Genomic DNA, 16,842 nt, shown 5'->3' with positions numbered 1-16,842 from the left:
CAGCAACCTTGACCCCATCCCTGCAGCAGGGTGGCCATGCTCCGCCATGAACCTTCAGTGGGCCTGGAGATAGGCCCCGTGAAATGTCATTCTGGGGCCTGAGGACAGGCTTGCCCTGTTCACTGCTACCACCACCCGAGCATGCCACCCAAGGGCCTGAGGATGACCCACCCCACCTTTAGACTCAGATATGTGTGTGAAATATCAAGAGTTCTGACAAAAGACCCAGCCTGCTTGCCACGGGAACACAAGAACACCAGCTGGGGCCTAGGGATTGCTCCACCTGGCCTGCCACAGCCTATGCCCATGGGCACCATTAGGGAGACTGAGGGCTGACTCACCCCACCTATTGTCCCAGGTGCACGTGTGCAATATTAGAAGGCCTGACAAATGGCGCAGCTTCCCTGCTGTTGGCACTCAAGCATGCCATTCGGGAACCTGGAGATCATCCTTTTCTGCCAATCACATCCTGTGCTTGTGCACACTACTGGGGTCCTGAGGACAGGCCCACCCCACCTGGTGCCAACTCCCTATATGCAAGAACTCGGTCCGGGGACCTGAGGATCAATTTTCCTTGCCTGCTGCTTCTGGTGCACACATGCACCATTAAAGAGCCTTAAAAAAGGCTCAGATTGTCAGCCACTGGTGCCCAAGCATGTCATATAGTGGCCAGAGTCCCTCCACACCACCCACCATCACTGGTGTCTGTGCACTACTCCTGGGGACCCTGAGGACAAGCCAGCCCAATCTGCTGCCACCACCACTGCCAAAACCAAAGTGTGCCACCTGAGAGCTGAGGGTTGGCCTGCCTTTGATAGTATCTTGTATTTCCTGTATCATCTATATTGTTAGTATCACCTGTATTGCTGATACAAAACCTGCTGCCCACAATCCCAGTTCCAGGCTGCTGGATTCTTAAGCAAGCAGCCTGGAAGCTTAAGAATCAACCTGCCTAAGTCTGCTATCAGTGCCCACTTATGCCTCCAACGAACCCAATAACAGAAAGGCTTGCCTAGTTCACAGTGACAACTACTGGGGACCAAAAACTAGTTTTTTCTGACACCTCTATCCCCAGCAGAGCCTCACTACAGCTTTCACTAACAAGTGCAGGATAGGCAACCGTGGAACTAACAGACACCACTGATGCTGATTACAACCAAAGTAATCATACAAAAACTATACTGCACACACACAGAATCAAGTCTAAAGTGCCCTACCCAAACAACACTGTAGATACATCTACAGAAAAAAATGTCTTCCCCTAGGAAAGTAAATCAAAAAGAATTGGAAGAAGTGATTGTTACAACTCATGTGCAGATACAAACACAAGGACACAAGAAATGAAAAAGCAAGAAAACATGATGCTTTTAAGGTAACACAATAATTCTCCAGCAACAGATTTCAACCAAAAAAAATCCATGAAATGCCTGAAAAACAACCAAAAATGATATTAAAAAAGCTTAGTGAGATAAGAGAACACAGAAAAATAATACAAAAAAATAAGAAAAATGATTTATGATCTGAATAAGAATTCAACAGAGATAATAAAAAAACAGAAATTCTGGATTTAAAAATTATAATACATAAAACAAAAATGTAATCAAGAGCTTCGAACAGAATAAAAAATTATAGAACTTGAAGATGTGTTTGGGAATAACCCAGTCAGTATATATTCATATGCGGATATATATATATATATATATATATATATATATATATATATAGAGAGAGAGAGAGAGAGAGAGAGAGAGAGAGAGAGAGAGATCAGGTTGGGCTGGCTTGTCCTCAGGGCCCCCAGGAGTAGTGCACAAATATGTATATAATAATAACCTTGGATATCTATAGCTTTAATTACCTACTTAAAAGATATAGACATGCTGAATGGATAAAAAGCATTACCTAATTGTAAATTGCTTACAATATTTTCACTTCACCTGTAAAGGGACATATAGACTGAAAGCGATTGGATGGAAAAGGATTTTCCACACAAACAGAAGCCAAAAATGAGCAGAAGTAGCTATACTTAAGTCAGATAAAACCGACTTTAAGTCAAAAACAGTACAAAAAAAAAGAAGCACATTAAATAATGATAAAAGGATCTATTCAACAAGAAGATATAACAATTCTAAACATATATACACCCAAACCAAAGTATCCAGAGATATAAGGTAAACATGATTAGATCTAAAGAGAGACTCCATTACAGTAACAGTTGGAGACTTCAACATCCTAGTCTCAGCATTATACAGATCGTCTATAGACTAAAAATCCACAAAAAAAGTTGCATTTAAATTTCATTTAGACCTAACTGGCATTTACAGAACACTCCATCCCACAGCTGCAAAATACACATTCTTCTCATGAGCACATGGAGCATTCTTTAAAACAGAGCATATGTTAGGCAAAAAAACAAAACAAAACCAAAAATCAAAAACAAACAAACAAAAAACACTCAACAAATTTATAAAAACCAAAATTTATTAAATATCTTCTGAGACCAGCATGATACAAAAGAAAAAAAAAAACAACAAGAACTCAAGAACAAGAGAAACATTGAAAACTGTACAAATATATAGAAATTAAACAACATGATCTTGGTAACCATTGGGTTAGTAAAGAATTAAGAAAACATTTTAAAAAATACTTGCAACAAATGAAAGTGTAAAGACAGCATAGCAAAACTTACGGGATACAGCAAAAGCAGTACTAAGAGGAAAGCTTATGGAAATAAATGCCCATATCAAAAAAATAGATTTCAAACCAAATTATGCACCACAAGGGACTAACAAATTAAGAACAAACCAAACCTAAATTTAGTAGAAGGAAAGAAATAACAGAGATCAAAGCAGAATTAAGTGAAATAAAGGCTAAAGTTACAGTACAAAAATCAATGAATCTAAAAGTTGTTTTTTAAATCAATAAACAAAATCAAAACACCACTTTCTAGACTAACCAAGAAAAAAACAGAGAAGACTGAAACATAACATAATCGTACATTAAAAAGGAAATATTAAAATTGATACCACAGAAATACAAATGACTCTTACAGACCATTATAAACAACTATATGTTAATAAACTGGAAGATCTAGGGGAAAATGATAAATTCCTGAACATATACAATCTAACAAGATTAAATCAGGAATAAATAGAAAACCTGATCAGCCCTATAATAAGTAATGAGATTGAATCAGTAATAAAATGTCTCCCTCCAAAATAGCTCATGACTAGATGGTTTTACTGCCAAATTGTCCTAAGCTTATAAAGAAGAGTTAATATCAATTCTTCTCAAACTATTTTAAAAAATTGGAGAAGGAAATTCCTCCTAACTCATTCTCCCAGGCCAACATTATCCTGATACCAAACTCAGACATGGACATACACACACCCTCACAAACACATGCAAACACACACACACCCCACTTCAGGCCAATATCCACGATGAATAAAGGCACAAAAATCCTCAACAAAATATGAGCAAGCCAAATCCAATGGCACCTCTAAAAGATAATACACTATGATCAAACAGGATTTATCCAAGGGATGCAAAGATAATTCAGCATAAGCAAATTAATAAGTGTGATACATCAGCAGAATTAAGTACACAAAATATATGATCATCTTAATAGATGCAGCAAAAGGATATGATAAAATCAACATATCAACATCTCTTCATGATAAAAACTCTCAAGCACAGAAGAAGCATACCTCAACATAATGCAGGCCATATCTGACAAACCCATAGCTAACATCATACTGAATGGGGAAAAGCTAAAAGCTTTTCTCTAAGAACTAGAAAACACCATAAACGATTATTTTCATCAATTCTATTCAACAGAGTACTAGAGGCCCTAGCTAAAACAGGCAAGATAAAGAAATACAAGGCACCCAAATTGAAACAAGAAAGTAAAATTATTCCTCTTTGCAGATGACATGATTTTAAATTTAGAAAAACCTAGACTCCACCAAAAAATTCTTAGAACAGATAAACACATTCAGTCAAGTAGCAAGTTACAAAATCAACTTACAAAATTAGTAACGTTTCTATATGCCAGCTCTGAACAATCTGAAAAATAAACCAAGAAATAACTTACCAAATGTAAGTCCCTTTTACAATAGCTACAAATAAAATAAGATACCTAGGAATAAATTTTACCATGGAGGGAAAAGGCCTCTATAAGGAAAACTACAAAATATTGATGAAATAAATTGAAGATGATACAAGTAAATGGAAAAAATCCTATGTTCATGGATTGAAATGATTAATATCCTTAAAATGACCATACTACCAAAAGTAATCTACAGTTTTAATGCAATCCCTGAAAATATACCAATGTCATTCATCACAGAAATGGAAAAGAAAACCCTAAAATGTGAATGGAACCAAAAAAGAGCCCTAATAACTAAAGTATTTCTGAACAATAAGAACAAAACTGGAGGCATCACAATATCTAAATTTAAAATATACTATAAGACTATAATAACCAAATAGCATGTATTGGCAAAAAGCAGACACATTGGCCAATAAAACAGAATAAAGAACCCAGAAATTAATCCACATATTTACAGTCAACTGATTTGCAACAAAGGTGGCAAGAACATACATTTGGGAAAGGATGTCCTCTTCAGTAAATGGTGTGGGAAAACTGGATATCCACGGGCAGAAAAATGAAACTAGGCCTCTATCTTTCATTATATCAAAACATCAACTCAAAGTGGATTAAAGACTTAAGACTCAAGACTATACAATTACTACACAAAACCATAGAGGAAATGCCTTAGAACATAGGCGTAAGTGAAGACTTTATGGTTAAGACTTCAAAACCACAGGCAAAAAAAAAAAAAATAGACAAATAGGACCATATTAAACTAAAAAGCCTTCTGTACAACAAAGAAAACAATCAACAGAATGAGGAGACTAACTGTTGAACAGAACAAAATATTTGCAAACTCTTCATTCAACAAGAGACTAAAATTCAGAATATATAAGAAATTGAAATAACTCAACACCAGTAAAACGATCACATTTAAAAGCATTTGAAAGATCTGACTGAATAGACATTTCTCAACAGAAGACATACAAATGGCCAACAAGAATATAAAGATGTTCAACATCTCTACTCAGCAGGGAAATGCAGATCAAAACCGCAATGTGATATCATCTTACCCCAGTTAGGATGGCTATTATCAGGAAAGAGAACCAAACAAATGAATGCTGGTGAGAAGGCAGATAAAAGGAATTTCTTATACACTGTTGGTAGAAATGCAAATTAGTATAGCCATTATAAAAAACAACTTGAAAATTTCTCAAAAGACAAAAAGAAATACCATATGATTCAGTGATATCACTACTGGGTATTTATTCAAATAAAATGATTCACTATTTCAAACAGACATCTGCACTTCCATGTTCATTGCAGCACTATTCACAATAGGAAAGATCGGAGTCAACCTTTGTGTCTAACAGCAGATGAATGCATAAAGTAAGAGTGGCATATATACATAATAAAATACTATTTGGTCATAAAAATAATATCCTGTCATTTGAATGGAATTAGAAGTTAATATATTAAGTAAAATAAACCAAGCACAGAAAAAAAGTGTGTGTTCCCACTCAAATTTGAAAGCTAAAATGTTGTTCTCATGGAGAAAGAGTAAGATCATCTCAGACCAGGGGCTGAGAAGGGTGTGTGTGTCAGGGTGTGGGTGTGATGGAAGGTAGATTAACTGGGATAAACATACATTTAAATAGAAGAAATATATTTTACTGTTCAACAGCACAATAGGATGAGCATAGTTAACAACAATATTGTGTATATTTCATAATAGCTAGAAGAGAAATCTGAAATTTTTCCAACATAAATGAATAATAAATGTTTGAGGTGACAGATATTATAAATATTCTTATATAATCATTACACATTTTTCTGGGTATTAAAATATTACATGTACCCCATAAATACATACAAATAGGTGTTCAATAAAATAATAAATAACAAAGCTTCAAAGGACAGGCCCACTTTTTTTGTCAGGAGCTAATGGCACTGATGACTTTAACTTGAAGCCAATTCTCATTTACAATTTCAAAAATCCTAGGGCCCTTAAGCATTATGCTAAATCTACTCTGCTAGTGCTCTATAACTGGAACAACAAATCTTGGGTGACAGCCCATCTGTTTACAGAATGATTTACTGAATATTTTAAGCCCAGTTTTGAGACTAACTGCTCAGAATAAAATATGTCTTTCAAAATATTGTTGCTTTTGGACCCAAGGGGGCTGATGGAGAGATACAAGGATATGAATGATGTTTTCATGCCTGCTAACACAACATCGTTTTGCAGCCATAGATCAAGGAGTAATTCTGACTTTCAAGTCCTACTATTAAAGAAACACGTTTTGTGTGTCTATAGCTGTCACAAACAGTGATTCCTCTAATGGATATTGGCAAAGTAAATTTGAAACTTTCTGGAGAGGAATTACCATTCTAAATGTCATTGTGAACATTGGTGATTCATGGAAGAAGGTCAAAATATCAACATGAACATGTGTTTGGAAGAAGTTGATACAAAACTTTATGGATGACTTTGATGGGTTTAAGTCTTCAATGGAGGAAGTAACTGCAGATGGGGTTGATAGCAATAGAACTAGCATTAGAAGTGAAGCCTGAAGATATGACTGAATTGCTGAAATCTCCAATAAAACTTGAATGGATAAGTAACTCCCTCATCTGGATAAGGAAAGAAAGCATTTTTTGAGATGGCATCTACTTGTGGTGAAAATGCTGTGAACATTGATGAAATGACAAAAAACCATTTAGAATATTACAGAATAATAGTTGATAAGACAGTGGAACAGCTGGAGAGGATTGATCTCTATTTCGAAAGAAGTTTTACTGTGGACAAAACACTATCAAACAACATTACATGCTACAGAGAAATCATGGATTAAAGAAAGAGTCAATTTATGTGGCAAAATTTATTGTTGCCTTATTTTAAGAAATTGCCACAGCCACACCAAACTTCAGCAATCATCACCATGATTAGTCAGCAGCCATCAATATTGAAGCTGTATCCTCCACCAGCCAAAAGATTTTGACATGCTGAAGGCTCAGATGATCATTAGCATTTTTAGTAAGAAAGTATTTATTAATATACATACATTGTTTAGACATAATACTATTGCACACTTCACAGACTTCAGTATTGTGTAAACATAATATTTATATGCACTGGGAAATTGAAACATTTTTGGGACTCTTTGCATTATAATATTTGCTTAATTGCAGTGATCTGGACCTGATCCCTCAACATCTTTAAGATATGATTTTATCTCTTTGAAGACACAACACTTTATTATCTTTTTCATTAGTTATATATTTACTAGAACTTCTATCAAGAAGTTTTATAGTTTTACTGTTATATATGTATATAATTGTTATATATGTATGAAGTTCTATATGTATAAAACTATGTATATATAGTTATATATGTATATATGACTATATGTGTGTGTGCATGTTTCTTCTTTTTCAATTTTTATTTTAAAATCAGAGAGTACATGTGCAGGTTTGTTACAAAGGTATATTACATGATACTGAGGTTTGGGGTATGACTGAACTTGTCACCCAAGTAGTGAGCATAGTACCTAATAGGTAGTTTTTCAGCTCTTGCTCTTCTCCCCCTCTTCTTCCTCTAGTAGTCCCCAGTGTCTATGGTTCCCTTCTTTATGTCCCTGTATACTCAATGTTTAGCACCCACTTATACATGAGAACATGTGGTATTTGGTTTTCTCTTCACTTAGGATAATGGCCTCCAGCTGCATCCATGTTTCTGCAAAGGACATGATCTCATTCTTTTTATGGCTGCATAGTATATGTGTATATGTACCACATTTTCTTTATCCAATCCACTGTTGCTGGGCACTTGGGTTGATTCTATGGTTTTTCTACCATGAACAGTGCTGCAATGCACATATGGGTGCATGTGTTCTTTTGGTAGAATGATTTATTTTCCTTTAGGTATATACGCAGTAATGGGATTGCTGGATCAACTGGTAGTTCCACTTTTAGTTCTTAAAGAAATTTCCCTGCTGTTGTCCACAGTGGCTGAATTAATTTCCATTCCAATTGATAGTGGATAAGTGTCCCCTTTTCTCTGAAGCCCTGCCAATATCTGTAATTTCTCTGGTGATTAGTGATGATGAGCATTTTTTTCATATGTTTCTGGGCCACTTGTATATTGTTTCTTGAGATGTTTATTCATATCCTTTGCACAGTTTTTAATGGAGTTATTTGCTTTTTGCTCGTTAATTTAAGTTCCTTATAGATTCTGGAAATTAGACCTCTGTTGGATATATAGTTTGTGAATATTTCTTCTATTCTATATATGATCTGTTTACTGCCTTGGTAATTTATTTTGCTATGTGGAAGCTCTTTTTTTATTATTTATTTATTTATTTATTTTGAGATGTAGTCTCGCTCTGTTGCCCAGGCTGGAGTGCAGTGGCACGATCTCGGCTCACTGCAACCTCCACCTCCCGGGTTCAAGCGATTCCCCTGCCTCAGCCTCCCAAGTAGCTGGTACTACAGGTGCATGCCACCACGCCCAGCTAATTTGTATTTTTAGTAGAGATGGAGTTTCACTGTGTTAGCCAGGATGGTCTCGATCTCCTCACCTCTTGATCTGCTCACCTTGGCCTCCCCAAGGAAGCTCTTTAATTAGGTTCGCTTATCAATTTTTGTTTTTGCTGCAATTGCTTTTGAAGACCTAGCCACAAATTATTTGCCAAGACTGACACTAAGAGTACTTCCTAGGTTTTCCTCTATAGCTTTTATAGTCTGAGGTCTTACATTTGTCTTGAATTCACCTTGAGTTAATTTTTCTATATAGTTAAAGGTAGAGTTCTAGTATCATTCCTTGGCATAAAGATGGCCAGTTATCCCAGAGCCATTTATTGAGAAGAGAGTTTTTCCTCATTTATAATCTTTGTTGAGTTTGTCAAAGCTATAGGTGTTTAGCTTTATTTCTGTGTTCTCTATTTTTTCCCTTGGTCTATGTGCCTGTTTTTGTACCAGTACCATGCTACTTTGGTTACTATAGCTTTATAGTATAGTTTAAAGTCAGTTAATGTAATTCCTTTGGCTTTGTTCCTTTATCTTAGGATTGCTTGACACATATTTTAGAATTATAATTACTTGTTAAATCCCCCCCCCAAAAAATCAGAATAAAGCAATTACCAGTGGACAAAAAGACTTAAAGTGGCCATGGTTAAAGACCTGATGGGACTTTATTATACTCCACAATCAAAAATAAAATTAGGTTATTTCTGTGGCATAACATTTTAACATAACCAAAATGATGACTAAAAACATTAATTTCTAGGGAGCTTATACAATTTTCATGCAAATATACCAATAACATATTTATATAAATATTACTCAAAGAATGTTAAATATAATTTATTGACAATAAATTCTGTATAATTTTAACATAGCAAATAAGGCCAATTAGTTTAATATATTTCTCCTATGTTTCCAGTGGCCCTTCTGAAATGTCCAAAAGTTAGTTTAAGGTTGAAAAGCCTTAATTTAGTTCTTGGAATTTGATTTTGGAAAGTCTGCCAAATATGTAAAGGTTTATAACACTTGATTATAATAGAATTACAGATCATTATGAGATCATAGTTATTAATTTAAACAAAACACCAAATAAAGACAGCGTGATACAGAATGTCTTTCTGTCTCTCTTCCCTGTTTTTCCTTTTCTTTTTGTTTTTGCAGTTGACTTAAAAAGTAAACAAAAATCTGTTACTGTATCTTATCAATATTATACAAACATCATGCTTAAAATAAAAAACAAATTCTAGTTTTATATCAATGTATTTTTGGATATTAAAGTGCAATTTTTAAAACCCTGATAATAAACTTGTTTAATCTTAGCGCATTTTATCACATGTAAAATTTCTTTTATAAAATTGTATAACCTTTATAACATTGATATTCATTCAGCTTTAGGTATATAATTTATTTTTGTATTCTTTCATTCTGAAACAACCCTTAAACAACCTGTAAACACTACTACTTTTTCTTCAACAAAAACCACATCCTCAGGCTTTCATTATAAACTTATTTACCAAAAATATATCTTGCTTTTCTTGTACACTTTGCATACCAAATTTTCCCCTTATTTCTAGTAGTTTAAATTACAGATGTTAATGACAATTTTAACTCATAATGATATAGTTTGAATATATGTCCCTACCATGTCTCATGTTGAATTGTAATCCCTAATGTTGCAGGTGGGGCCTAGTGGGAAGTGTTTAGGCCATGGGAAAAGATCTCTCATGGTTTGGTGCTATCCTCACAACAGTGAGTGAGTTCTCAGGAGATCTGTTTTTTTAAAAGTGTGTGGCACCTCCCCCTTCTCTTTCTCTTGCTCCCACTCTCACCATGTGACATGGTTTGGCTGCATCCCCACCCAAATCTCATCTTGAATTGTAGCTCCCATAATCCCTACCTGTTGTGGGAGGAGCTTAGTGGGAGGTAATTGAATCATGAGGGCAGTTACCCCCACGCTCCTGGTCTTGTGATAATGAGTGAGTTCTCACAAGATCTGATTTTTTTTTTTTTTGATACAGATTCTAGCTCTATCTCCCAGGCTGGGGTGCAGTGGTGCAATCTCAGCTCACTGCAACCTCCACCTTCTGGTTCAAGTGATTCTCCTGCCTCAGCCTCCTGAGTAGCTGGGACTATGGGCGCATGCCACCATGCCCAGCTAATTTTTGTATTTTCAGTAGAGACAAGGTTTCACCATATTGGTCAGGCTGGTCTTGAACTCCTGACCTCGTGATCCGCCCACTTTGGCCTCCCAAAGTGCTGGGATTACAGGTGTGAGCCACCGCACCCGGCCAATCTGATGGTTTTATAAGGGGCTTTTCCTGCTTTTGCTTAGCACTTCTCTTTCCTGCCACCATGTGAAGACGGACGTATTTGCTTCCCCTTCCACCATGACTGTAACTTTCCTGGGGCCTCCCCACCCCTATGGAACTGTGAATCAATTAAACCTCTTTCCTTTATAAATTACCCAGTCTCAGGTATTTCTTCATAGCAGCGTGAGAATGGACTAAAACACCATGTGATATGGTGCCTATTCCTCTTTGTATTCCCTCCCTGAGGCCTCTCTAGAAGTCAAGCAGATGCCAGTGCCATGCCTGCTGTACAGCCTGCAGAACTGTGAGTCAATTAAACATCTTTTTTTTATCAATTACTCACTCTCAGGTATTTCTTTCTGGCAATGCAAGAGTGGCCTGATACATATAGTAACCTACATTTCTAGTGAAAACCAAGGTATTAACTCACTTTAATTGTCACATACCAATATTTTATGAATATATATTTCATAATTTCTAAATATATAGGAATCTTCAAAGTTTTGAATGTGGAACATACTAAGAAATCAAAAAATATTCTGTTTCTTTGTAATGAGAAGCAACAAGTAAATATATTTAAACCCTTTGTTAATGTTTCAGTAGTTTGTCTTATTTGAAAATTCTATGAATAGCTATCATTCAATTTAACTTGGCAAAAGTTTAAGTGTATAGTTACGAATGAATTTGGAAAATCTTTAAAGTAAACATATCATTAAACATAATTATTGTAAAAGAAGTATGTTTATAGACTCTTATTGCACCTGTATCTATTTAATTTCTTCATCCTTAACAATTACAGAAACATTTTTGAGATACTAGACAATGCTTAGTCATTATCTCGAGTTATTTTTCTATTAACCAGCTTTATAGTACATGCACATTAGGCAATTACCATGAAAGAAAAACCCCCAAAGTTAATTACGTGAGTATTTTGTTGATAACTTATAAGACAAGCTGTTTCTACTAAACCAGCAATGTTTAATAGTCTTATTCACAAAGATGTACCCATATCACAGGAACTTGAAAAGCATTTAGGTTAGCTATTTAATTTGGGAGTGTCTATATATTTCTCAGTCAGTTTCGTAGCATGTAGACTATACACAAGGACATGTACAGACATATAAATACATGTAAATACAATATATGATGCACACATGCACACACGTATATATTCAAAAGCCCAGTGATCAGGGGGCTCAATGTAAAAGAGAGCAGAGTTTCAGACCTGAGAGAAATCCACCCACGGCTCCTCAGGCTTTGTGAAAAAAACAGAGTCTCCCAAGAAGGGATCAGTGGTGCTTTTTCTGTGTTGCTCAAGAGGTGAAATATTTTGATTTCCTTTGGTAGTATAAACCTCTGTACACAGATACATGTGAACATACATTTGAACATACTCTATCTGGGGTTAGAATCTATGCTTTATCCGTTACATTAGAGTTCTTGTACTATTTTCTGCCACTGAGACCAATGCTAAAAATATCAATGCTCTGCATTTATTTAAACATGGAAATCAGCTACATGCATCTCTTCACCTGAAACACAGACAGTTAACAATGAAAAGCAAATGAGAGTTAATTTTGAACAGGTACATAAAAAAGAGAGTAAGCATTAAAAACTCCATAGTGTGGAATGAGCATAGAAGAGTTCTGGTTTAACTTTAGGAAATCTTTTAGCAAGTTTTGTTGTGGGACCCCTGGAAGAGTATGGGAAGGCCTAGAAGTTTCCTTTCTGCTCCTAGTAACAGCATTGAGCTATTTTTGAGGATGTTTGCAAAAAAGTAGCTACGATATTAGTACACAAAAGGATAACTAGAAATCTGTGGAGGCTGGACAAGACATTCTAGAATTTCTATGACATTTCCCAGGAGTCTGTCATTTCAGGAGTGAATAGTAAACTAATGAGGTAAATGTTTCTCTTCTTTTTTTGTTAAAATAAGACAGTCACCCTGTGTTAATGCCTCATTTATCCTGTGAGCTTCCTGTGTATTTTTGATCAGTTGCAATATTATGCTTGCATATTTTTGCTTTTTTGTAATGTTTCATTTGTTTTACACATTTGTCCAAAACTCGGGGGACAAAAGAATGTGTACTAGTAAGACTACTAACAGTAAAAGACTACTGTAATAACTTTGTTTAGGAAAGCTATCCACTCTGTTCTAATTATTTTCTTATTTCTGTGGATTAAATGAAAATGTTCCTGTAAAAGTTTGAGCATAATACCTGGCACATAGTAATCATTCAAAGGACAGTAGTTATATATTTATCCAATATGGTAATTGTTTTTATGATCACTATTTTTAAACCTTCTACAGTGTGGAAAAAAATACAAAATACGTGCCACCAAATATGGCTTAGAAAGCTTTGCAATTTTTTGTGAAGTATTAGATTAAGAGAAGATACATTTGATAGCATCGTTTAATTTCTGTTTTCAAGTAATTCATCTGGAGTATCCTAAATCAACTTGAAAGTCTTATTAAGACAAATGTAATATGAAACACTCCTGGAACAATAATATTTTGAAAAAAAATTATTAGAAAAATTAATAAACACAAAGTCAGAGGTCACATTTGAAAATCTGCATTACCTCTTACTGCCTTTATAAATTTAACTTTCTGGAGTTTTCAGTCTCCGTATAATATAATGGTCTTGTATCAGTGTAAATATCACAAGAAACAAGTAAACAAAGGAGGTAAAAATTTGGAACATAGACTATAAGACAAATAGAAAACTTTTTATGTTCCATTGTTTCACTCAATAGGGCTATTTTTATGTAAAACATTTTCAATCAAAATATCTAGCTTTGTCCACTTGAATTGCTTGGGTATGCTAAGATAGTTCAGCTCTCAACTACTGTACCTATGGGATTTCTACCCCCAAACAACATTATGAATGAAAACAGGTGTTTATAGAGTCAGAAAAATATGTGTTTAAATCCTACCTGCACCATTTACCACGTCTACACTATCTTGGATAATCATTCTGTGACTCATTTCTCTCTTCTGTAAAAGAGAAGTCTCATCTAAGTCAGGGGTCCCCAACCCCCAGGGCATATACTGGTACCAGAGTCTGTGGTCTGTTAGGATCCCATCCTTACAGTAGGAGGTGAGCAGCAGGCGGAGCAGCAAGCATTAATGCCCGAGCTCCACCGCCTGTCAGATCAGTGGCGGCTTTAGATTGGAATAGGAGTGCGAACCCTACTGTGAACTCCAAATGCCAGGGATCTAGATTGCAGGCTCATTATGAAAATATAATTAATGCCTGATGTTCTGAAACCATCATGACTCAAACCACACCCTCCCCTCACCCCCTTGGGAAAAAACTGGCTTCCATGAAACTGGTCCCTGGTGCCAAAAAAGTTGCCGGCTGCTGATGTAAATGACAGGACGGCTATAAGAACTGTTATCTGTAACCTGTAGAGTGACACATAACACAGTGCTTGGTATATCATCCATGCTCAAAAACGGCGGTGCTGTTTCTGATTGTTCTGCTTCTCTCCCTCATAATCGTACAATTCCCTCAGTACATGCTTGAGAGGATGCAGTGAAATATCGACATAAAGAGCGTTAGGGCAAATTATAAGACATAAGAATAAGAGACAGTTTAAAAAAGAGAAATTGATGCAAATTTATTTTCTATAGAATAGAAAGCAACCTTGAGAAACTAATACAAAACTTAGAAAACTCTTAATTATACAAATTGCCAGCTCTGCTGGGAGGTCAACATCCTTTCTAAGATACAATAATAAGTTGTGTAGGCAGAAGAGCCCACTCGGCTTCACAGAAGGAGGAATAAAATTGGGCCACTTTGTCCTGAGTTCTAAAGCATAATTCAAATGGTATTTTAACAAGTAGTTCAACTATGTTATTTGTCAAATAGGCTTTTGTAATATGGCCTAGGGGAGCTGACAGTCTTATAGAATATTATTTCTGAAAAGCATAATTGTCAAGTTCCAAGCAATTGACTTATATGCACATGTTAACACTGTAGCATTTGCTAGTTGAAGATGATATGATTTAATATTAACACATCAGAATAATAAGGTATTTTAAAAATCTAGGCCTCTACAATTGATGTCTGCTTAAGATGTTTACTGACTCCTAATTCTCAAACTTTCTCTCTTCTGCCAACCCAGAGTAACATTGCAGTAAACCTATTTTAAGTAAACCAGCAGGAAAAAATTCACTGATTTGAAGGTGTGAGTTATGGCATCTAGGAAAATGCTTTATATTTAGGGTTGCTAGATAAAATAAAAGACTCCCATTTTAATTTAAATTTAGGATAAATTATGAGTACTTTGTTAGTATAAGTCTGTCCTATGCAAACTTTTCTAACTACTGACTAGTTTATGTTGCAGGATATATTATGTATGTGTTTGTATGTGTATGTATGCATTTATATAGACCTATAAAATATATTTAAAAGTACACACATATATGTCTATGTATGTATATAAGCATATATAAGCTTTATAAAAATATATACCCTTCATATATATATATACACACACATATGTGTGTGTTATAAAACCTCTATGTGTGCACACACACACACATCCTTTACAGCCTTGTGTAGCATTTTCTGACACCACTTCTGAAATTAAGTGCGTGTGTGTGTGTGTGTGTGTGTGTGTGTGTTGAGATGGAATCTGTCTCCAGGCTGGAGTGTAGTGGCACGATCCCGGCTCATTGCAACTTCTGCCTCCCAGATTTAAGCAATTCTCATGTCTCAGTCTCCTGAGTATCTGGGATTACAGGTGTGCACCACCATACCTGGCTAATTTTGACGTTTTTAGTAGAGACAGAGTTTCACCATGTTGGCCAGGCTGGTCTTGAACTCCTGACCTCAGGTGATCTACCCACCTCAATCTCCTAAAGTGCTGGGATTACAGGCATGGGCCACCGTGCCTGGCCATGTGTGTTTCTTAAAACAAGTACATGTTTTTCTACATCAAACAATTCTTCAACTCTCTGACAAACTGGGAGTAGATGAAATCAATAAAATTCTGACACTAACTCCTGGAGTTAGTCCAGACCCTAAAGGTTAAGGACTTCATCCCAGGAGCCTACCCCACATCAGAGATCAGCCACAAATAGGGCCCCAGGCAACCCAAACTTCTTCCCAGCTGGCTAAACAATTGTGGGAGGGGGTCCCAGGGCCTTCTCCTAGGTTTCATAATTTCCTAGAATAACTCACAGAACTCACAAAAGCACTTTACTTATAATTATTGGTTTATTATAAAAGACGCAATTCAGAAAGAGCAAAATAGGATGTTGCATGAAGCCAGGTGTGGGGTAGGGATGGGGTTGTGGATGCAGCCTACCACTTTCCCAGCACATTGCTGTGTTCACCAACCTGGAAAGTCTCCAAATCTTGTTTAAGAGGATTTCTAACTCAATCTCCAGCCTTCCTCTCTGCCCAAGAGATTGGAAGATGGAGGTGAAAATTCCCATTTTATTCATGAGTTTGATCTTTTCTGTTGGCCAACTCCCTCTTCCTTCTAAAGTTTTGCACCATCACCTCATTAGCAAAAACTCAGGTATGGGCTGGACGCGGTGGCTCACTCTTGTAATCCCATGTAATCCCAGCATATTGGGAGGCCGAGGCAGGCTGATCATTTGAGGTCAGAGGTTCAAGACCAGCCTGGCCAAAATGGTGAAACCCCGTCTCTACTAAAAAGTACAAAACTTAGCCAGATGTGGTGGGACATGCCTTTAATCCCAGCTACTCTGGAGGCTGAGTTGGGAGAATCGGTTGAACCCGGGAGGCAGAGGTTGTAGTGGGCTGAGATCACGCCACTGTACTCCAGCCTTGGGTGACAGAGCAAGACTCCTGCTCAAAAAAAAAAAAAAAAAAAAAAAGAACTCTCAGGTATGGTTTATTATGAATATCAAAAGTCACTCCCACTATTCAGTAAATT

General features: G+C 36.1%; 1 long non-coding RNA gene across 2 annotated transcripts in view, besides 1 other annotated feature; it reads right to left on the bottom strand.

Moving 5' to 3' along the window:
- The window catches only part of LOC105374557 (uncharacterized), a 485,690-nt gene that overhangs the window by 170,562 nt on the left and 298,286 nt on the right, over window positions 1-16,842 (bottom strand). The gene's annotated exons all lie outside the window — the stretch shown is intronic.
- Window positions 146-647: an enhancer, noted in NCBI's record as "H3K4me1 hESC enhancer chr4:28433613-28434114 (GRCh37/hg19 assembly coordinates)". NCBI's record gives its function as "activates a minimal SCP1, AML or CMV promoter by ChIP-STARR-seq in naive H9 embryonic stem cells {active_cell/tissue: H9 hESC(naive)}" and the evidence as "EXISTENCE:reporter gene assay evidence [ECO:0000049][PMID:30033119]".

Source organism: Homo sapiens, chromosome 4 (genome assembly GCF_000001405.40).
Source record: "Homo sapiens chromosome 4, GRCh38.p14 Primary Assembly".
Classification (NCBI taxonomy): Eukaryota; Metazoa; Chordata; class Mammalia; order Primates; family Hominidae; genus Homo; species Homo sapiens.
The sequence above is the reverse complement of the archived record's forward strand: the minus strand, read 5'-3'. Positions and strand labels throughout refer to the sequence as shown.